The following is a 21,792-nucleotide window of genomic DNA, read 5'->3' on the forward strand; positions in this document are numbered from 1 at the left end:
CACACACACCCCACCACCACCACCACCACCAATACCACCAGACTGATACAGGCTTTAGGAACAGTTGTTGACTTTATTTGCATGATATTTGAGAAAACAGGAAACTTGACTTCTCTGTATAGAGCTGGGGGGGTCTCAGCCCTGGTTTCTGAAATAAAAGGTCTCAGGTAGACAGGCCTGGAAGCTGAATATTAGACCAGTCTTAGCAGGGTTTACAGGCGTGAGCCAATGTGCCCAGCCCATTATTGTTTTCACAGGTTACTGCCCTGTTCCCACTCCCAACTAAATTGTAAGCTTCTAAGGGCAGGGACGTAGTCCACCTCTGCCATGTGGTTGGTTTTTTTAGTGTCTGACACAGCACTTTGCTCAACACATAGTGTTTGGTGATTGGACAATGGGCTTTCCAGCATTATTGGTGACATCCTTATCTGCCCCTCAGAAAACCTTTTTAAAGAATACAGGCCAGGAGCAGTGGCTCATGCCTGTAATCCCAGCACTTTGGGAGGCTGAGGCGAGAGGATCTCTTGAGCACAGGAGTTTGAGAACAGCCTGAGCAGGATAACGAGACTCTGTCTCTACAAAAAATTTAACAATTAGGCTGGGCGTGGTGGCTCACTCCTGTAATCCCAGCACTTTGGGAGGCCGAGGTGGGTGGATCACGAGGTCAGGAGATCAAGACTATCCTGGCCAATATGGTGAAACCCTGTCTCTACTAAAATACAAAAAATTAGCCGGGCGTGGTGGTGCGTGCTGGTAGTCCCAGCTACTTGGGAGGCTGAGGCAGGGGAATAGCTTGAACCTGGGAGGCGGAGGTTGCAGTGAGCCAAGATCATGCCACTGCACTGCAGCCTGGCAAGAGAGCAAGACTCCATCTCAAAAAAAACACAGACAACTTTTAACAATTAAGCATGGTGGTGTATGCCTGTGGTTCCAGCTACTTGGGAGGCTGAGATGGGAGGATCACTTGAGCCTGGGAGGTTGAGACTGTAGTGAGCTATGATCATACTACTGCACTCCAGCCTGGGCAGCAGAGCGAGATTGTCTCAAAAAAAAAGTAAAAACAATTAAAAGAAAAAAGAAGACAAAGATCTCGAAGATCCAGTTCAGCAGTTGGTATTGTGTCTGCTGCCTTCCTCAACTTGACCGTAATGACTTCAATTTCTCTCAAATGCCTTTGTTTTTATGTTCACTTCAATTAGCGCTAATAGAACAATACTTCGCACCTTCATAAGGTCTTTCCTTGGAAAGCTCCAAAGCATTTTACAAGAAAGTGTTAATTATTCCCATTTTACAGGCCCGAAACCTGAGGCAAAGTGAAACAGTGACTCAGTGGCAAAATTAGGATGTGATTTTCCCTCTCTGTTTTCAATTGCCTACTATAATCACTAGATCACAGGACCCCTTTTAGGTTAGAGTTAAGTTACTGTTTAAAGAGATGACAGGCTGGCACGGTGGCTCACCTCTGTAATCCCAGCACTTCGGGAGGCCAAGGCAGGTAGATCACCTGAGGTCAGGAGTTCAAGACAAGCCTGGCCAACATGGTGAAACCCTGTCTCTACTAAAAATATAAAAAATTAGCTGGTTGTGGTGGTGGGCACCTGTAATCCCAGCTACTCAGGAGGCTGAGGCAGGAGAATCACTTTAACCCAGGAGGCGGAGGTTGCAGTGAGCTGAGATCATGCCATCACACTCCAGCCTGGGCAACAAGAGTGAAACTCTGTCTCAAAAAAAAGAAAAAAAGAAAAAAAAAAAAAAAAGACCGGGCGCAGTGGCTCACGCCGGTAATCCCAGCACTTTGGGAGGCCAAGGTAGGTGGATCACGAGGTCAGGAGTTCAAGACTAGCCTGGCCAAGATAGTGAAACCTTGTCTCTACTAAAAATGCAAAAATATTAGCCGGGCATGGTAGCGGGCGCCTGTAATTCCAGCTACGCCAGAGGCTGAGGCAGAGAATTGCTTGAACCTGGGAGGCGGAGGTTGAGGTTGCAGTTAGCTGAGATCGCACCACTGCACTCCGGCCTGGGCGACAGAGTGAGACTCCGTCTCAAAAAAGAAAAAAAAAAAAAGATGACATAGGCTCTAATGTGTCCTTATTTTAAATAACATTTACTATTTCCCTGCATTATACAGGTGGTATGTACTCATGTAGAAAATACATAAAATATAGAAATAAGGCTGGGTGCTGTGGCTCATCCCTATAATCCCAGCACTTTGGGAGGCCGAGGAGGGAGGATGGCTTGAGGCCAGGAGTTCAAGATCAGCCTGGGCAATATAGAGAGACTCTGTCTCTACCAAAAATTGTTTAAAAAAAATTAGCAAGGCTTGGTGGTGTATGCCTGATGACTTGAGCCCAGAAGTTCGAGGCTGCAGTGAGCTATGATTGTACCACTGCCCTCCAGGATGGGGAACAGTGAGACCATGTCTCAAAAAAAAAAAAAAAAAAAAAAGAAAGAAAGAAAAGAAAAAATATTAAGGAAAATAAGTCACTTATAAATTCATCATCCAGAGACACCCACTCTTAGGAGTTAGCCTTTTTTTTCCCTAGCATTCTTTCTTTCTTTTTTTTTTTTTTTTTGAGACAGTCTTTAACTGTTGCCCAGGCTGGAGTGCAGTGGCGCGATCTCAGCTCACTGCAACCTCCGCCTCCAGGGTTCAAGCGATTCTCCTGCCTCAGCCTCCCAAGTAGCTGGGATTATAGGCACCTGCCATTGCACCGGGCTAATGTTTGTATTTTTAGTAGAGGCGGGGTTTCACCATGTTGGCCATGCTGGTCTTGAAGTCCTGGCCTGAGGTGATCTGCCGACATCGGCCTCCCAAAGTGCTGAGATTATAAGCGTGAGCCACCATGCCAGGCCCACACAGGCTTTTCAAATTATACAAGTGTGTGTGCCTGTGTCTGTGGGTGAATATTTTAATAAGAAAAGTAAGTGCCAGAGTCGATGCCTACTTTCCTTACTTCTTCCTTCTGCCATTCACCTCTCTCTCACAAAAATAAAATGTTGACATCCCCTTAGATTCTACCCTAGTTAAAGCTAGCTTCTTAAACCTCTAAAGATATTATAATACAGACTCTCAAAAACTGACACTACATCAAATATTTCACGTGCATGGAGCTTGAGGGAGTGAAAAAGTTTTCTACTCCTGCTAGAAATACGAGCTTTTCTATTTCCTATTTTCCACTGGAACAACCTTTCTCTTCTCTCTTTTTTTTTTTTTTAAGTCAGAGTTTTGCTCTTGTCACTGAAGTGCTGTGGTGTGATCTCAGTTCACTGCAACCTTCACTTCCTGGGTTCAAGCGACTCTCCTGTCTCAGCCTCCCGAGTAGCTGGGACTACAGGCAGGCGCCCACCACCATGCCCAGCTAATTTTTGTATTTTTAATAGAGACGGGGTTTCACCATGTTGCCCAGGCTGGTCTGGAACTCCTGACCTCAGGTGATCCACCCGCCTCGGCCTCCCAAAGTGCTGGGATTACAGGCATGAGCCACCGCGCCTGGCCGGAACAAGCTTTCAAAATCTTGCAAACCACACTTACTCAGGAAAAAAAACAATATACAATCTGACAGTGCTTGTGACAAAAGAAAATCTAATTATATTTCATGAAAACAAATCTTCATTCAACACCAACTGTATAACTGTGGAGACGTGTCACAAAAGAGGGTGTAGAAAAATATTTTGCTTTGTATGATGAATACAACTGGAAAAAAAAAACCCAACCCATGTCTATACCCTACATGGCCTAGCACCAGGGACATAGTTGTCGTTTAAAATATTGGATGGCAAACTTCTGTTATAAGAGCAATATTAATAATGAAACTCAATATAAATAAAACGCCCATGGTTCATATCTCCCAGGAGGAAAGCAAAGAAATTAGTATAAGTCTGAGCACAGAACTTGAACTTTACATTAAGCAAGTTAATAATAATATTTATATAGTGTTTTACATATCTCAAGCCCTTTCAAGCTACTGTTACCCTATTAATTTCTAGTGATTCAGTAATGACATCAGTGAGAGTCACAGAAGATGGCATTTATTTTAATTGTGTACAGGAAATGGGTAATATGACCTCTCTGTGGGAGTCTCATGATGTGGGGGAGATAAAAAAGGAAAAGTGAGATTTGATATTCGAATAAACTCAAAATATCAAGAAAATGTAGGCCCGGGTGTGGTGGCTCACGCTTGAGAATTCTAGCACTTTGGGAGGCCGAGGTGGGAGGATCCCTGGAGACTGGGAGTTGGAGACCAGCCTGGGAAACTCTGCTCCATACAAAAAAAGAAGAAAAAAAATAGCCAGGCATGGTGGCACATGCCTGTGGTCTCAGCTTAGCAGACTGAGGCTGCAGTGAGACATGATGGTGTCACTGCACTCCGGCCTGGAGTACAGAGTGCAACTCTGTCTCAAAAAATAAAGAAAAGAGGTCAGGCGCGGTGGCTCACACCTGTAATCCCAGCACTTTGGGAGGCCGAGGCGGGTGGATCACTTGAGGTCAGGAGTTCGAGACCTGCCTGGCCAACATGGTGAAACCCCATCTCTACTAAAAATATAAAAATTAGCCGGGCCTGGTGGTGCATGCCTCTAGTCCCACCTACTCCAGAGGCTGAGGTGGAAGAATCGCTTGATCCCGGGAGGTGGAGGTTGCAGTGAGCCGAGATCGCGCCACTGCACTCCAGCTTGGGCAACAGAGCGAGACTCTGTCTCAAAAAGTAAATAAAAAATAAAATAAAATAAATTAAAATAAGAGAAAAGAAAACCAAATTTATATTAGAATATAAATTTGGTAAGAAAGAGATTGCAGCCAGGGGTCAGTGGCTGGTGAGATGGGCTTTGGAAGCTTGTGTGATAACAAAAGCTCCAGGTCTCTTGTCAGAAACTTGAATGTCCCAAAGCAAGGAGGAGTCAAGTCCATTAAGCTTGATGTATTTTCTTCTTTTTTTTTCTTTTTCTTTTTTCTTTTCTTTCTTTTTTTTTTTTTTCTGAGATGGAGTCTCACTCTGTCACCTAGGCAGAGTGCAGTGGTGTGATCTCGGCTCGCCACAACCTCCGCCTCCCGGGTTCAAGCAATTCTTCTGCTTCAGCCTCCTGAGTAGCTGGGATTACAGGCACACGCCACCACACCCAGCTAGTTTTTGTATTTTTATAGAGACGGTGTTTTACTATGTTGGCCAGGCTGGCCTTGAACTCTGGATCTCAAGTGATCCGCCTGCCTGGGCCTCCCAAAATGCCGGGATTACGTGAGCCACCTTTCCGCCATAGATGTATTTTCAAAGTGTAAGCCACCACCATCTGAGAGGCCAAGCTGTACACTTTTTTTGTTTAAGACAAATCGGAGAGAACAGAACATAATCATTAGAGGTGTCGAAAGATACCTAGAGTGAATGTCATTAACATATGCTGTCCAGAAGTGGAAAGAAGGGGGAAATGGTGGGCCAGACATGAAGTCTTTGAAGATTTCCAAAAGGAGACCGAGAAATGCTGTCACCAGAGTCAGGGTGGGAGGGTGGTCAACAGGAGTCTACTGTTTAGAAATCATTACAGTTTGTTCTTACAAGTTGGGCAGGTTTTTGGTACAATTATATAACTGCACATACATTCAGGGTATTGAAATGAATGATGTACTACTATACATGTAATTACATGTAGCAAAATGTATACTTTTATTTGGTGGGTATTTACATATAGTACACTGAATAGTGTACTTAAAAATAATTAACATAAAATATTCTTTTAAAAACAGAGCAATTAAAAGTTGTTTGGTTTTCTTGAGCTCAAAAAATAAAAGAATCTGGAATCTTCCTTTCATTTATTCAAGTAGTCTATGCCAAATCATTCTAAAAGGCAGTCGCCAAAGACAAAAGAAAGAGTCATTCTCCTCTGTTATTCATAATCTTTTGATTTAAGGAAAAGGGATTTTCAAATGTAAAGTGTCTCAAAACTTCTGTCTGGTCTTAGTCCTAAATTTAAAACATTTACAAATTCAGGCAGCTTGAATTACTACCTCGATATAATTTTGAACTTCTATGTTTGTAAAATTGAGATTCTCCACATAACTTTTTATTAAGAGTATGATTCCTTTATACCATGCATCAAAATAGTCATATCTTTATGTTTATTTATGAATAAATTACGATAGAAGCATTTAGCATTATGAATTGTTTCTGATTATCCAAAATATTTCTTGTTGAAAACTATTTGAAACTCATTCTAGTTTGGATGCAAAAAAAAAAAAAATTCAGAAAATGCATTAAGGTTTTAGAACGAACCTCTTGATTTTTCCTTTGAAGTATATCTGATTTCTGAGTTTTTTTCATTTTCCTTCTAGCTTGGTAAAAATTATAGATTATTCCCCAACTTTTCTTGGGGATAAAGTTTCTTAACTTTAGGTGAAATTTAATTGTATGAGTCCATAATAAAAGATCTTGTGTGGGATAAAGAAAATGGATTTTTAAAATAATGCCTTACAGTGTAAGACATTTTTCAATTTGGAAGAAATTCTTGATAGTTAATTCCTTCAAGGAATTAGGTGAAGTATAACAGAACAACTTTTAAATTTGAATCTTTAGAAAACAACGCGACACATTTTCACTTCTTGGAGCTGCCAAAAGAGGGCCAATTTAGTAGTAATTACCCATATTTTGGAGAATTGGACAATTTTTTTTTTACTTTAGTGGATTTAATAAACTATATGTGGATGTCAGGGAAAGGAGAATCCACTAGTGTTAGGAAGATAGGAAAGAATGAACTCCCAAAAGCACTTTACAATTTTCTGCAAGTTAAATTAGTTAGTATTATCACATCCCTCATGTGGCTACTTACTGCTTTTTAGGCAAAATAAAATGGGCCAGAAAAGAAATTTAGGAATTCTGGGCTCAAATATTAATTATTTAGTTACCTTATTTGGGGCTAAGCTGTATTTCATTTAAAGGCGTCAGGAACAAACATCATCTTGGTCAGTTCCTCCATCTGATGACTGGGGGCTTGATTTTGAAAGCTTGGGTGGCAAATTGGTCATATACTTGGAAACTGTGAGATTTCATCCCCTAAAGGGAGAGCCTGAGTGTCGAAAAGTGACCAAATGCCTGTGGATTGTTTTTTTTTTTTTTTTCCTTGTTTTTCATTCTAAGTAATATTAATTATGTGTCCAGGTGCCCTAGGTATTTCTTGGTACTGGGCCATTTATCTTGAGAACTTACCTGCCTCTCACACCGTGCTCTGGGAGGTCATAGCCATTACTGTATTATCTTTGTAGGTGCCAGTGGAAATCTAGGTCCTAAAACCTATAAAATATTTTGTAAATATTTTATGCAGCGCACATCTTTGTAGATCCACTCTGCCAGTGGGTACTCCTGGGTTTTTACAATGGTGGGGCTAAAAATCAATCTGAAACAATACAAAAGAAACAAAATAGTCTTTGGAAATAAATACAATTTGCTTTTATTCTGTGTCTATACTTGCTCAAGAAAAATAAAGTGCACTTTAAAAAGTTTTTTTTAGGTCTCTGCTGTTTCACTCAACGCAGATAACTTTTGATCAGTGGTTTATTTTGAATGAATTTCTTTTTACAAAGTAACGTTTTATGGTGCTGGTGAAAGTTATTCTAAACTCCTCCCTTCCCACCACCCCCTGCAGAGAGCAACAAGGTTTATGTAACCCAAAACTTTGGTGGGAGAACTCAACTGTATTTAAATAGAGGTTAACCTCTGGGCCATCCAATATAGTGTGTCTGTACTAAGTCAGGTTAGCATGTAAATAATATAAATATAACCAGAAATGTAACAACGGTATTTAATAGTCATCAGATTTATTTCTAAAATATTGCCATGGATTCAGAATACTGAATTCCAACCAGATGTATTTCGGGAGTATTACACAGGTCATATATATTTCACTTTTTTGGTTCAAACCCAGGGGATCTACACGATAATTAGATTGAGAACATCTGCATCAAATCCAAACCATTTCCCTGATCCTTCCTTGAGCCTTCCCCATGGGAGGGATTTCTTTTTTTTTTTAAGCCCCTGCACATTTTGTCTAGCCACCTTTAGCGCAATTCCTAGGTCTCGCCTGCCTGCCACCGCAGAAATAGACATGCCAGGGGAAGGCGGAAGCACCCCCCCCCCCACCCCCGCCGCCTCCCCGAGTGTGCAGGCATCCTTAGAAGTCGCATTTCCCCGGGACAGGAATGTCCCTCGGTGGCAATGCCGCTTCCCGCCAGAAGCCTGACTCCGGGACAGGGCGTGGCAGGCGCGGGGGCCTGGGCGCGCCGGTGGGCACGTGCGCGGGGACCCGAGGACCCGAGGACCCGAGTGTCGGGGCGCCGCTGCCCTCTACCGGGCGGCGCGGTCGGAGCTACAGCGCGGCGGCCGGCCGACTGAGCGCGCGGGCCGGGGCGCCCCACACGGAGGCAGCCCTTGGCCACCCGAGATCCACAGTGCCCTGCTGTGCGCGGCGTCACCGCATCTAGGGTGGAGGCTCGCAACGTGCCCCCCGACGCCAGCGCGCTCCCACCCACCGGCGAGTCAAGGTTGCGTTGGGGAGACAGTGAACCCCGTTCCCGACATCAGGGGCCTCCCCTTGGGGAAACTGAGGCCCCTGGCCAGCTGCGCAAGACCTGGGGACACGCGTGTTCTCTAAATCTTGGGACTTTCATTTCCAGCCTCTTCCTCCAAAAATGCCGAATTCACTGCGCCAACCCTCGAACTCACTTGAAAAGCAATTGTTTTCCACTTGCGCGTTTTATTTTGTATCCTATGCAGATTCTATTTACATATGCATTTTGAGATTAAGGAATTTGGGGACTTGTTTTAACTAATTACTCGTTCAGTGAAGTACGGGAGAGTCAAAGAACAGTATTCCTACTGGAAACTCCAAGTCACACGTGTGTATAATCAATGAAAGATGACGATCATAAAACGTGTGCTTTCGCCAGCTTTCCGCGAGGAGAGAAATCAAAAGAGAATTTATTTTTTGGTTTGCATTTTAGCATTTCTGTAAACTTGGGACCACGCTTTCCGTTTTCAGTGAGTGCACCCACACTTTCCAACTTTCTGCGCCCAAAGTTGCAACAAACCAAGGTGTCTGAACCACAGGAAGTTTCTTGGGCTGTTCCGCTGAAGCGGCGCGGGGGGACACAGAACTGGGCTCCCAGACTTTTCCTGTCGTGGCCTAAACTGGAACGGCTTGGGCGAATGGGGGCTGCCGGGACCCCCAGCGCTACCGCCGTTGGGGTGCGTTCGGGTGCGACGCTGGCACCGCCGCTGTCCGGGTGTGGGGCATCCACGCGCGCGGCCCCCTGAGAGGGTCAGGGCTGTTTCCCCCTCAACTCCACTCCTCCAAACATGCCACGCTGTTCCTGGTCGTGTCGGTGTCCCGGTCCTCGCTGGGCGCAGAGGGATCAGAGTGTTGCCGTCCACCGTCGGGGCGCCTCCCACGCACGCTGCTGCGGGGGGCCTGGGCCACGCAGGGGTCGGGTGTGGGGGGTCCCGGGCAGGTGGTAGCGGCGTCTCCGCGCTCTGTACACTAACCACTACAGGGGCGCTCCGACGTTCCCCCCAACCGGAGTCTTGAAGGCGCTGCGCTCGGCCACCGCGGGCGATCGCGATCCCAGCGGGAGACCCCCCCCACCCCCGCAGCCCTCCCCAGGTGCGCGGTGCCGGGGGACCCCGGGCGCTGCCCTCCAGCGCCCCCTCGGGGCCGGGTCTGTGGCCGGCGCGACCGCGGACTTTGGGGGGGGTTGTCCCGAGGGGCGGGGGTCGCCGGTCGGCCCGCGGAGGGGAGGGGGAGGGCGGCGGTGGGGGGGTTGGGGGAGCAGGGGCCGGGGCCGCGCGCGCGAGGCCGGGCCGCGGCCGCCGCGCCCTGGGGCTGCGACTCCGGCTCCGGCTCGGGCTCGCCATGGCTGCGGCGGTGCCGTGAGGAGGAGTCCGCGTCCTCGGTGGCGGCGGCGGCGGCCGGCTCCAGGCCGGGTTTTGGCGCCGCCCGCCTGCTGCCTCCTGGCGGCTCCTGAACTCCAGCCCCCTCTCTATCAGCCGCTCACTCCGTCTCAATATGTCTCAAGATGGCGGCCAATGTGGGATCGATGTTTCAATATTGGAAGCGCTTTGATTTACAGCAGCTGCAGGTCAGGCTCCTCCGCGCTCGGCCTCGCGCCCGGGGGTGGGGGCTGCGGGCGGTCGCGGCCTCCGCCGGGGGCCCCGGGCTGGCCCAGCCGCCGGGGGGCCCGCGGCGGCGGGGAGGAGGGGGGTGCCGGGCACCGCGGGGCCGAGTCGGGGCCGAGTCCCTCCCGCTCCCCGGCCCCCATTGATCACTCGCTTGATCGGAAATTGATCCTCTTTGTTCAATTCATCGATCAGCCCAAGATGGCGCCGGGAGCCGCCGCCGCCACCACTGCCCCCGGTGTCTGCCCCCACCCCGGGCGCCCCCCCGGGCCCCGCGCCGCCGCCGCCGCCAGCGCCGCCGCCGCCGTTGCCGCCGCGGGACCGGGGAGGGGGCGGCCCCGGCGGCCCGCGGGGTGCGCGCGCGAGCGGGGAGCGGGGAGCGGGCGGCGGGGGGCGGGCGGCGGCGGGCGCCGGGAGGGGGCCGCGGCCCGGCGGTGGCGCCCGCCCGCCCGCTCGCCCCGCGCCCCCGGCCCGCCGTATTCCCGGGGAAAGTTTGTGGGGAGTTGCTGCGGGGGGTGAAGCGCCTGCCTCTCCAGGAGGAGCCGCCGCCACTGCCGCCGGCGCGGCGGAGCTGGGGCTGGTGGCGCTGTGGTGCCGCCGGCTCGGGGGAGGGTCAGAGCGGCCACCGGCGGCGGCGGCGGCGGCGCGGCCCGGCTCCGGCCAGGCGGGCGGGTGGCCGGGCAGGCGCCCGCGCTCGCTACCCCCGGCCGGCCCCGGCCGCCGCCCCCGGCTGTCACCGGCCCGGGCCGCGCCGCCGCTCCGGCACCCCGCGTGTGGCTCCCGGCGCGGACCCCCGGGTTTGTTTACGTCCCGGGGAGCGCCCCGGGGCCACCCGCGCACCTCGCGGCCGCCGCGCTCTTTTGTGTGCCTGTGTCGGTGACGCGGACCTGTTCCTCCGTGGCGGACCCCCGCGGGGGCTCTTTGGGGAAACTTGGCGAGGGGCGGCGGGGGTGCCCCGCGCGCAGTGTCGCTGGGTCCCGGTGTCCCGGACCGCCGGGTGCGGGCGCGGGAGGAGGAGGCTGCAACTTTCCCCTAGGCAGGCCCCAAGCTGTTCCCCCGGGTGCCCGGGCAGTGTACGCTGCCTCCCCGCCGCCGGTCCGAGCCGCGATCGCCGCGCGCCTGGGGGCTCCGGCGGCCCCCGGTGACCTGCGGCGCCGGGTCCCTTCCTTGCGTCCCCTCGGGGCTTCTGCCCTCTCTGCAGGGCCCGCCATGGAGCGCGCGGCGGGTGCGCTCGGAGATGCCTTCTCGGGCCGGGTTCTCGAAAGCAGAGCCCCGGGGGCCCGTTGGGACCGTGGCATGCCGGGCGGTGGTCCGCGCGCGGAGTCCCCGGCGCCGCGGGGGGACCGTGCCGGGGCTCCCCGGCCCGCGCCCGAGTCGCCGCCGTGCCCAAGGGGCGAGTGCCTGCCTGCCACCCCCCGCCCGGAGGAGCGGCGCACCCTTAGGGTCCGCCCCGCACGTGCCAGCTCGGCGCCCGCGGCGCCGGGACAGCCCCGGGACTCTGCCAGGTGGATGTTGTGCGTAGCCGGAGCCAGGTTGAAGGTGAGCGGCGTGTGGGCCAGAAGTCCCGAGGTTGCAGGCGCGGAGGGAACCGGGGATGTCGGGGGGTGCCCGGGTCCCGCGGCTTAGAATGCTCTAGGGCGGCCTGGTGCTCTGGGAGGGGATAGGAGGGTTCCTCAGGGCCCCTGGGGAACTGCAGCTACTCCCAACTGCTAAGGTGTGCGTGAAGATAAACTTGGCTGAACTTTCCTAACCTGGAGGACTGGTGACAGTGACCTACCGCAATACCTTTGGGAGCAAAGCTCGAGATGCAGGCTTGTATCAAACGAAGCGGGTTGGATTAAAACATATTTAAATGGAATCTGACAACTTTAATTGTATATGCTTGTTTTCTGCTCTTGCCTACTAAGAACGATAAAGCCGAGTCATAGTCGTTATGAAATTTCCTGAAATTTCTCGCTTAACTAGGAAGAAGACTATGCGAAATATGTATTTCCGATAAGATTAAAACTTAAAGGAGTTTAAGTATTTATTGACTAAAATAGATTACTCCAAAGTGTCTATTGTGTAAATTAGATTCCTGGATGTAATGAACACAGCCGAATGGCATTTTTGATAAATTGGTCTACCCTGTTTTAGTAAAAATAGCTCCCTTTTACCATAATTTAATTCCTGTGCTTACTGTAAAACCCGTTGTGGAGTTTTAAGGACAAACATTATTATTATTTTTCTCTCTTGTCTTCCTAAATGTGACATCCTAGCTTAATATCAATGAAGTGTCTTTTTTAAAGCATCCTGGCAAAATTGCCTGGAAAATGGATTTGGTTTCTAGAGTTACTAGATTTTAAGAACTCTAAACCTTCCTGTCCCCCATATTAGCTACTTCTTCAGGGGATCAGGGCTCCAGGGTTCCATCGAAAGTTTCCATGTCAGTTTACTTGCACTTTATGTGGATATTAAGAAGAAATCAAAACCAAACCCCAAAACAAAGTCCCTTATTTGAACTTCATTCCTCTTTACTCCTTTGCTTTTGGTGGTTGCTAACGATTTGGCCTTAGATGATTTCCTATGGGTTTGCAAACTTTAGTCGAATACGGAATGTCAAAGTTCAAGTCTCAGGCCAATCTGGTTCTTTCTCTGGGCGGTGAGGAGGCCTTTGGAGTTGGTGTCTGGTTAATTCCCACCGATAGTCAGTGAGTCAATAGAACGAGTTTGGGAGAGAATTCATTAGTTCCAGATTTTTCTCATTTTTCCAGACCTCTTTATACTGAGATTGGGTTGCCACCTGGGGGTAAAGAGGCTGATCGGTCTTTGCAGAGAGAAATCCAGGTTGGAGACGTCAGCGGGTCCAGGTGAGGTTGGGCCGTTCCGCAGTTCTGCAACCCTGGCTCACTGGGTTCTTGTCCCTCGGCTTCCTGGGTCTTGAAGCTGCTGCCTTGGCACAGGAGTGTGTGCTCAGGAAGAGAATTTCTGAAGATTGTGTTTTATTCCGTTTCCTTTTTAGTCCCAAAGGCTTGTGGTATGGAAGTTTCAGTGCTTTGGTATTGCTAAGACTAGTTGGACAAGTTTTTTATCCTATCTCAGACTTGTAAAAACCAGGTTTTCTTTTCTTTTTAAATAAGAAAAGCACTGTTGTATAAATTTGTCTTTTAAATACATATTTGAAAGGAGGACACTTTCTAAGACAAAGCTCATGGCACTCTGTATGTTAGTGGAGCTTTGAACTCTTTGGGACGGGGCCCGCCAATGACTGCCTTCCCTTTGGGACATTATTCCCACATGGTGACCAGCCTTCCCCTTTAAGCAGCTTCTGCAAAAGTAAACTTGAAAAGTTGCCTTCTTTTTCAGAATCAAAAAACAATTTCAGTTTTGCTGAAAGTCCATTTTCTGATGGCTTTTTTTCCCCCTGTTGTGGAAGTGTGTATGTTACTGGCTGTCCAGTACTGTTTGCCATAATAAGTATATTATTTTAATTAAAATGTCCCATCTAGTACCCTTTATAAAAGAGCAGTTCAAGAAATTACACCACTGCTGCTCCTGCTTTTGTTTTCTTGGTTCTTTTAATATGGGTGTCTTTGAGGTTGGATGTGGGAAGGGGTCATTGGCAGTTGATTTAAGTTTTTTCCTATGTGAAACTCTTTTTTTCCTTAAAGGTGCAAGTGGTGAGTTAATGCAACAACTCCTGGTACAGTTGAGTCCACAGAGAGCCCTTTGACTACATCCTCGGCTTCGTGTATCTTCTGTCGGTAGTTAGCCAACCTAAGAAAGCTGAAAGGGCCAAATAGTCCAATACCTTCAGGAATGATTCTCTCCTAAATCCACTGAGCTAACCTTAAAAATGCAGTCTGGTGAACTGTGCTGAGCCTGAAACCTTTAATGGCTATTTAAAAAGTCTCCTGTTTTTGTACAATTAAGACAAACCCATCAGGGTTTATATGGGAGCTGTGAAGGAACAGTAGTTTGTGCTCTCTGATTCCCTTCTGGGTCTACCTGTAGCAGTAAACAATCAAAACCACTCCTGAGGCTGTACTCACTTTCTGTGTCTTAGGAGAGAACACAAGACTAGAAGTAGAAAATCCACATTTGTTTCAGCTCCTCTGTAATGCCCCAGGAACGTCTGTTTTTAGTGAAATGAAGGAAGGACACGTTTGTTAGGGGAAAACTCATACATTTCGTAAGCAGAGAAATTCATCATATGAAGAATCCTACAGAGGTAGGTTAAATTCCTACCCGTGCTTCCATTTCAAATAGTTTACACATTTGTCACATGTAAATTTCACAGACAGGTATATCTGACGAATTGTAACACAAATGGTATGTAAAAGGCAACTCTAACCATTATTCAAATATACAGGATCCAGGATCGTGAGTTATTGTAGAAATTACTTAAGACCTATTTAAAATTATTGAATACATAACTTTAAAAAATGTAATTGCTCTATGAAAAGTGACTTTTATTATAATTGTCAAAGACAGAAATTTGTCTGTCTTGTCCTTTTGTTTTGTCTGAAGCCCCGCGTTATCGCTGCAGAGAGAGAGTTTTGGTTTCCACCGAAATTTCCCTGCCTCCGATTGTTTAAACCAGACCCTTAATCTTATTTTAACATATTTAAAATGTTCACAAAACCCGGAAGAATTGTTTTGTGTAAGTAGCAAGCGAGTGTAGCTTAAACACTCAAGCAATTCTGGTATCTAATTGGAAACAGGTGGAATTCTTGGAATCCCATGTTTGAGTCTTTTTATAGCAAAGCCCAGGGACACTTTTCACTTATAGCCATTCGTTTTGTCGAAGCTATTTGAAGAGGGGCCCCACAGCCTCTCCTTATGTCCCACTGTTGCTTACCTGGACAAAGCAGTCGTGCTGGGCGCTTTAGGAACTGGATACCTGTGAATGCCTGGATGCCGAGAGAAGTGTGTGTGTGTGCCGATAATGGAGTGAAAAAGGAATCTAATGGTATAGTTAGACAAGCAATTTAATATCTGCATTGTTATATGACTTTAGAGCAAAGAATTTGTGAATTCATTTGTGATTTCTGACTTGATGAACCTTGACTGACCAGAGCATGTAGGTACATTTTATTATACCCCAATAATGATATAGAATTCAGAGAGAAGATACTCCCCCCCGCCCCCAAAAAAATTCTACATTTAGAGAATATAAGCTCCACCAGCAACCATAAAAGTATTAACTTGGTGAGGGGGATATTTTCTTTCTTTTTTTTTTTTTTTGAGACAGAGTCTCGCTCTTTCGCCCAGGCCGGAGTGCAGAGGCACTATCTCAGCTCACTGCAAACTCCGCCTCCCGGGTTCACACCATTCTCCTGCCTCAGCCTCCCGAGTAGCTGGGACTACAGGCGCTGGCCACCAGGCCTGGCTAATTTTTTGTATTTTTAGTAGAGACGGGGTTTCACCGTGTTAGCCCGGATGGTCTCGATCTCCTCACTTAGTGATCCGCCCGCCTTGGCCTCCCGAAGTGCTGGGATTACAGGCGTGAGCCACCGTGCCCGGCCCCTATTTTCTTTTCTTTTCTTTTTTTCTTTTTTCTTTTTTTTTTTTTTTTTTTTTTTTTTGAGACGTGGTTCTGTCGCCCAGGCTGGAGTGCAGTGGTGCGATCTCGGCTCACTGCAAGCTCCGCCTCCAGGGTTCAGGCCATTCTCCTTCCTTAGTCTCCCGAGTAGCTGGGACGATAGGCGCCCGCCACCATGCCTGGCTAGTTTTTTTGTTTTTTTGTTTTTTTTTTTTTTTGAGATGTAGTCTGGTTCTGTGGCCCAGGCTGGAGTGCAGTGGCGCGATCTCGGCTCACTGCAAGCTGAGCCTCCCGGGTTCACGCCATTCTCCTGCCTCAGCCTCCGGAGTAGCTGGGACTACAGGCGCCCGCCACCACGCCCGGCTAATTTTTTCTATTTTTAGTTGAGACGAGGTTTCACTGTGTTAGCCAGGATGGTCTCGATCTCCTGACCTCGTGATCTGCCCGCCTCGGCCTCCCAAAGTGCTGGGATTACAGGCGTGAGCCACCGTGCCCGGCCGATGTTTTCTTAAATATTAATGGCAGGGCCCTCTGGATTGACTGTGTTATTTGACCCATTCCAGTTTTCAAGGCGTGGTCTTGAAAAGCTGTCGATCACCCTGGTTTTGGGATGTGTTTCAGAACCAAGTTTCGATGGTGTGTCAGTGTTGGATTTTCCTGCTGAGGACAGCTAAGGTTTGGTATGGAGCAGTTTTGGATTTGCTGAGCTGTAATCAGTCCAGCTTCTCTGCTGTCTTCTGAGAAGGTTGATGGAGGAGAGTGGTCTTTGGCGGGGATGGAGGTTTCCCTGCAGGAAATGAACCAGGACTGAGGGGAACCTGTGCCGTTCCCCTCATTTGTCCTGCGCCTGAAACAGCTTTGAAGCACCTGGCTTGTGACTTAAAAGATTTTTAAAAAGCATTTGTGCTGCCCTATTCGGGTATTACACAGTGAGGGTGAACCATTCTTTTCGAAAGACGTCTAAGGCCGGGCACGGTGGCTCATGCCTGTAATCCCAGCACTTTGGGAGGCCAAGGCAGGCAGATCACTTGAGGTCAGAAGTTCGAGACCAGCCTGGCCAACATGGCAAAACCTCATCTCTACTAAAAATACAAAAATTAGCCTGGCGTGGTGGCGCATATCCATAATCCCAGATACTCGGCAGGCTGAGGCATGAGAATTGCTTGAGCCCAGGAGGTGGAGGTTGCAGTGAGCTGAGATCGTGTGACTGCTCTGCATGCAGCCTGGGTGACAGAGCGAGACTCTGTCTCAGAAAAAAAAAAAAAAAAGACATCTAATTTGTTGTAAAACCTGTCAAGAACCTTCCCTTTAAAAAGCTAATGCCTCTCTAATAAAAATAATTTTAATTTTGTTGTAATTAAATTCAGAGAGGATGATGTTAGTGCACAAAATAAAGATTGTCAATTTCTTTATTTTAATCCAACGGCATTTCCTAACTGCAGGAGGCCCAGGACCGTTGGCAGAAATTTTGTGTTGATTAGAGCCTCGGGCCATGGGAAGTGCAGGTACTGTGGCCACAAAGTTCGTCGCCCAATCCCTGGCTGACCCCACAAGCAGGACTGGTACAGATCCCACCCTCAGGGGTCTTCCTACACAGAGAAACATAATCACACAGGTGACTGGAACGGAGCCAAGGATGGTGGTGTTCCTCCTAGGGATTTACTAACACTGCCAGCAACTCAAGAACTAGCCAGCCGGGAGTTTCCTAGTAAGTGAAACTGACTTGGTTCTGCTTCCTTTCATGAAAACCTTTGTGAAAATGAGCCCAATAAGGGGTCCGAACCTTTATAAAGCACACGACCCCCCAGAGTGGACCGGGCCCTGGCCGACTCCATCAGCCGAAGCTTGAGATCTTGGATGGTCTGGATGGTCTTGACCGTGTGTGATTGATGCAGTTAACAAAGCAGGAAATTAACAGAGCTTACTCTGAGACACCAGGGAAGTGGCTTGTTCTTTCTTGGGGTTACTTTGAGTGGATGCTGGCACACTGCTTGTTTTCTTATAGATACCTTTCTATTGGGCTGTGTTTATTCAATAAGGAAATGCAGTTAACATTTTTTTAACAAGTAAACCATGGGTTATGAGGTGTTCCGAGTTTGGTTAAGGGAAAAACAAATTGACAAATTAGCTCTTTCTTAAGTGAGTATTGCGAAACAGTGAGAAATAGAATGCCTGTCGTACCGTCATTAAAAATTTATCTGGGTGTTGACAGCTTTTTGTTAAATGTAAGACATTCAGATCCTGTCCACCCAGCATATGAAAAAACCAAACCAAACCAAACCGAAAAACAAAATGCAACACAAAAGCTTCTTTCCATTTCCCCCCAAAAGCAAGACAATTTTTCTTAAACTGGGGCTTTCTCCCTAATGAATTGCCATGATTTTGTTTTCTCTAACATAGTTTAATATCTTTAAGACAGAACGAATATCAACTCTTTTTATTTTATTTTTTGAGACGGAGTCTCACTCTGTCGCCCAGCCTGGAGTGCAGTGGCACAAACTCCGCTCACCGCAACCTCCACCTCCCAGGTTCAAGTGATTCTCGTGCCTCAGCCCCCCCGAGTAGCTGTGATTACAGGTGTGCACCACCACGCCCAGCTAATTTTTGTGTTTTTAGTAGAGACAGGGTTTCACCATGTTGGCCAGGCTGGTTTCAAACTCCTGACCTCAAGCAATCCACCCCCTTCGGCCTCCCAAAGTGGTGGGATTACAGGTGTGAGCCGCCGTGCCTGGCCTCCACTCTTTTTAGACACCTTTGTTGAGTTGTTGTTTTGGGCCTGTAAGTTTCTCTGGCTTATTACCACTTTCCCCTCCTGTTTCTAGGGAAGAAATGATTATTTAGATAAAAAATAATTTGATAAAAGGTAGCAGATGATACCAAAGGTAAATCTTTGTCTTGAAGAGCCTGAAGCTGTGAGCATTGGTAAAGCCGTGGGCTGCAGTGAGGGAAGGGCCGGCTTGGAGCCGCCCTCAGCCTAGCCTCCGGGTGTTACCTGGAGCCCTTGCTGTCAGGACGGCCTGTCACTTCTCGCCCTTCTCCTGCCCTGCCAAGCCTGTCCCTTCCTGTGTTGTGACAACTTTTTTTTTTAAACAAGTATTTCTACAGCTCCATTATTTTGAGATTCTTGGAAGAAAGATACTATGTAAATGAAAATTAAAAATAAAATTCTCGCTGGAGGGAATCGTATACATGTAACGTTTTTGATGAGGTTTGGAAAAGACTTTCGTTCTCCCTCTGGAACTGGGAACATTCTGTGGCTCCCGTCACCATTTCTGTGTCACTCTGAAAGGTGTGGCAGATAATGGTGAAACATATTATTTTCTGTTTTTCACCAAGTAGTTGACCCAGAACTTGAACCCATGCAGTCCTGGGTCCAGTGAATTATTTCTGCTGCATACAGTTCTGCTGTGTCCTCGCCGAGAGCGTAGTCAGCAACCGCCCGGAGAATACCAACCTTTCAAAAGAAAAAGGGCTGGAGTCCCCAACATACAGAGATTACAGCTAAAATTACGACCAGAGCTGTTAATCAAATCCCATCTTCCCTTCCTATTCACACAGTAGAGATGTTATAAGTCATACAGGTTTGAGACAGAAAATTGAGAGCAGAGGAGCATGTGTTTAAACCAGCATAGAAACATTCATTTACCAGAATTGCTTTATTTCAGCCGTATCTCAACTCGTTGCTTACACAGTAACGCATGCTGTCTCGTCACTCAGCCAAGTGGGAGACAAGTTCAGGTTTCTGCTCCATGGGATCCAGGAGCCTGCAGTCACCGATGAGCCTGGAGGACCACAAGGTGGCCAGGGCCCTTGGAGAGCTGTGCTGCGGAATCGTAAAGCTACCATCCGGAGCTGGCCGTCCCAGAGGGAAGGCTTGGTCATCTCTTCCCCTCCACCTGGTCCTCAGCCCTGGTCCCGCAGTTTGTCATCCCGCAGTTTGTCAGCATCGATGTGGGACTGGGAGAGGAAGGATATTGCCAGTTATGGTTGAATGTCATTGTCAGGGGAGTAAGAAGTAGTTTGTGATTGTTTTACGTGGCTCTGTGTTGGTATATAATTATGCTGTCATCTTAAAACGCCCTGATACCTTAATGAAATCTGTGTGTGTGTGTGTGTGTGTGTGTGTGTGTGTGTGTGTGTGTGTGCGCGCGCGCGCGCAGTTAGTCTTCGGGGCTGCTTATTGTGTGTGAGAGCCAAGTCTTTCTAACACACGAGCTGAGTGCGTCGTCTTTTACTTGTTTCAAAACTGCCCATTCGAAACAGGTCGCAATCCATTATAAATGCAGCTGCCAGATTAATCTTCCCGAACCATTGATTTCATCATGCCATTCCTCTCCTTAAACATCCATGGTGGCCCACTTAGGCACAGAGTGGAGACCACATTTCTTAGGGTAGCAGACAGAGTTCCTGATAGTCCTTTCTGCCCCACCTAAACCTTTTCCATCCCAGCTAGAATGACTCCAGAATCTTGCTTATTTGGGGGAGCTCCCTCCTCCTCCCTCTGTACATCTGAGCTTCAAGCCTACTTCAGAATTTTTTTGTTTTTTTTTGTTTTTGATTTTTTGAGGCAGGGTCTTGCTCTGTTGCCGGCTGGAGTGCAGTGGTGAGATCATAGTTCACTGAAGCCTTGACCTCCCGGGCTCAAGCAATCCTTCCACCTCAGCCTCCCGGGTAGCTGGGACTATAGGCATGCACCACCACGCCTGGCTGATTTTTCCATTTTTTTTTTTAGAGACAGGGTTTTGCCCTGTTCCCCAGGCTGGTCTTGAGCTCCTGGGCTCCAGTAATCCTCCCTCCTTGGTCTCCTAAAGTACTGGGATTATAGAGGTGAACCACTGCGCCCGGCCTTCAAGCCTATTTCATGCATTCCTTTTTCTTTTGCCCCTGTGTGCCCGGCAGTAGTGATGGAGACTTAAAATAGCAGTGGCTTCCCGCCTAGAGGGCGGACAGGACTGGCAGGACGAGGCTGGGATGGATGGAGCAGTGTGTCTGAGCCTCTGGGAAGGCTGCAGGAAGGGCTTGGAAGGCGGGTCGGGGAGTGGGCAGGGGGCGCCCACTGAGTTCTGTGTGCTTGGGGAGGTGTGGGAGACAGGGCTTTCCAGCAGAACAGTCGTGGGGTGGCCGGGGATCTCTAGGGCTCCCCTCTGAGCTTGGGTTCCCTCCCTCTGCCCTGATTATCCCTTGGGTACCCACCACACCATCGCCACACAGGCCCCCACTCTCTGCCTTGTGTGTCCGATTTAGGACTCATTCAGCTGGTTAAGAATGCAAAATTAATTCTTTTTTTTAATATAGTGAAAGCAGGTAGATTATATTAAAATGGCTGTGTTTTGAAAGCTACTGATAGGTACACCTATGGAATAGATGTTTCTTTTTCAGTCCCATTAATTATCTTTCTGTGCAAAGTAACATAAGTGTTACTTTTTCAGTCCCATTAATTATCTTTCTTTGCAAAGTAACATAAGTGTTGGTTAAAATACAGTTGACCCTTGAACAACATGGGGATTAGGGGCTGATCCCTTCTGCTGTTCCCCCTACCCCACCTGCACAGTCAAAAATCCACGTATAACTTTTTTTCTCCCCTCCCCTCCTTCTCTTCTCTTCTCTTCTCTTCTCTTCTCTTCTCTTCTCTTCTCTTCTTTTCTTTTCTTTTCCTTTCCCTTCCTTTTCAGACGGGGTCTCATTCTGTCACCCAGGTTAGAGTGCAGTGACATAATCATAGCTGACTGCAGCCTGGACATCCGGGGCTCAAGCAGTCCTCCCACATCAGCCTCCCAGTAGCTGGAACTACAGACACTCACCAGCATGCCTGGCTAATTTTTAATTTTTTTCTTTTTTTAGAGACAGGGTCTTGCTTTGTTGCCCAGGCTGGTCTTGAGCTCCTGGGTTCAAGTAATCTTCCTGTCCCAGCCTCCTAAAGAGCTGAGATTATAGGCATGAGCCACCAGGCCCACATAAAACTTTTCATTCCCCAAAAACTTAATTACTAATAGCCTACCGCTGATGGGAAGCCTTACCGATAACATAAACAGTTGCTTAACATGTATTTTGTATGTTAATATGTGTGATATACTGTATTCTTAGAATGAAGTAAGCTAAAGAAAATGTTATTAAGAA

At 48.1% G+C, this 21,792-nt stretch overlaps 1 protein-coding gene across 25 annotated transcripts in view, besides 12 other annotated features; it reads left to right on the top strand.

Annotated features, from left to right (window-relative positions):
• Positions 8,083-8,492: a silencer, noted in NCBI's record as "silent region_18489". NCBI's record gives its function as "represses an Ori minimal core promoter by ATAC-STARR-seq in GM12878 lymphoblastoid cells {active_cell/tissue: GM12878}" and the evidence as "EXISTENCE:reporter gene assay evidence [ECO:0000049][PMID:35858748]".
• Positions 9,412-9,801: a silencer, noted in NCBI's record as "silent region_18490". NCBI's record gives its function as "represses an Ori minimal core promoter by ATAC-STARR-seq in GM12878 lymphoblastoid cells {active_cell/tissue: GM12878}" and the evidence as "EXISTENCE:reporter gene assay evidence [ECO:0000049][PMID:35858748]".
• Positions 9,842-10,071: a silencer, noted in NCBI's record as "silent region_18491". NCBI's record gives its function as "represses an Ori minimal core promoter by ATAC-STARR-seq in GM12878 lymphoblastoid cells {active_cell/tissue: GM12878}" and the evidence as "EXISTENCE:reporter gene assay evidence [ECO:0000049][PMID:35858748]".
• Positions 9,842-10,831: a biological region, named in NCBI's record as "H3K27ac hESC enhancer GRCh37_chr7:101459162-101460090".
• Positions 9,903-10,831: an enhancer, noted in NCBI's record as "H3K27ac hESC enhancer chr7:101459162-101460090 (GRCh37/hg19 assembly coordinates)". NCBI's record gives its function as "activates a minimal SCP1, AML or CMV promoter by ChIP-STARR-seq in naive and primed H9 embryonic stem cells {active_cell/tissue: H9 hESC(naive and primed)}" and the evidence as "EXISTENCE:reporter gene assay evidence [ECO:0000049][PMID:30033119]".
• CUX1 (cut like homeobox 1) overlaps positions 10,028-21,792 on the top strand; it is a 467,952-nt gene continuing 456,187 nt past the window's right edge. For 17 of the 25 annotated variants that reach the window (NM_001913.5, NM_181500.4, NM_001202545.3 and 14 more), the window contains exon 1: positions 10,028-10,114. In NM_001913.5, coding sequence (NP_001904.2) covers positions 10,052-10,114 — 63 coding nt within the window. In that variant the 5' untranslated portion in view covers positions 10,028-10,051. Of the gene's footprint in view, positions 10,115-11,646; positions 11,691-21,792 lie in introns of those variants that run through there. The other 8 variants (XM_005250154.4, NM_181552.4, XM_005250150.4 and 5 more) reach the window with 1 other exon arrangement.
• Positions 10,657-10,816: a silencer, noted in NCBI's record as "silent region_18492". NCBI's record gives its function as "represses an Ori minimal core promoter by ATAC-STARR-seq in GM12878 lymphoblastoid cells {active_cell/tissue: GM12878}" and the evidence as "EXISTENCE:reporter gene assay evidence [ECO:0000049][PMID:35858748]".
• Positions 10,927-11,246: a silencer, noted in NCBI's record as "silent region_18493". NCBI's record gives its function as "represses an Ori minimal core promoter by ATAC-STARR-seq in GM12878 lymphoblastoid cells {active_cell/tissue: GM12878}" and the evidence as "EXISTENCE:reporter gene assay evidence [ECO:0000049][PMID:35858748]".
• Positions 11,317-11,396: a silencer, noted in NCBI's record as "silent region_18494". NCBI's record gives its function as "represses an Ori minimal core promoter by ATAC-STARR-seq in GM12878 lymphoblastoid cells {active_cell/tissue: GM12878}" and the evidence as "EXISTENCE:reporter gene assay evidence [ECO:0000049][PMID:35858748]".
• Positions 11,427-11,496: a silencer, noted in NCBI's record as "silent region_18495". NCBI's record gives its function as "represses an Ori minimal core promoter by ATAC-STARR-seq in GM12878 lymphoblastoid cells {active_cell/tissue: GM12878}" and the evidence as "EXISTENCE:reporter gene assay evidence [ECO:0000049][PMID:35858748]".
• Positions 11,547-11,596: a silencer, noted in NCBI's record as "silent region_18496". NCBI's record gives its function as "represses an Ori minimal core promoter by ATAC-STARR-seq in GM12878 lymphoblastoid cells {active_cell/tissue: GM12878}" and the evidence as "EXISTENCE:reporter gene assay evidence [ECO:0000049][PMID:35858748]".
• Positions 15,107-15,809: an enhancer, noted in NCBI's record as "H3K4me1 hESC enhancer chr7:101464366-101465068 (GRCh37/hg19 assembly coordinates)". NCBI's record gives its function as "activates a minimal SCP1, AML or CMV promoter by ChIP-STARR-seq in naive H9 embryonic stem cells {active_cell/tissue: H9 hESC(naive)}" and the evidence as "EXISTENCE:reporter gene assay evidence [ECO:0000049][PMID:30033119]".
• Positions 18,378-18,940: an enhancer, noted in NCBI's record as "H3K4me1 hESC enhancer chr7:101467637-101468199 (GRCh37/hg19 assembly coordinates)". NCBI's record gives its function as "activates a minimal SCP1, AML or CMV promoter by ChIP-STARR-seq in naive H9 embryonic stem cells {active_cell/tissue: H9 hESC(naive)}" and the evidence as "EXISTENCE:reporter gene assay evidence [ECO:0000049][PMID:30033119]".

The sequence above is a fragment of the Homo sapiens genome, chromosome 7 (genome assembly GCF_000001405.40).
Source record: "Homo sapiens chromosome 7, GRCh38.p14 Primary Assembly".
NCBI lineage: Eukaryota > Metazoa > Chordata > Mammalia > Primates > Hominidae > Homo > Homo sapiens.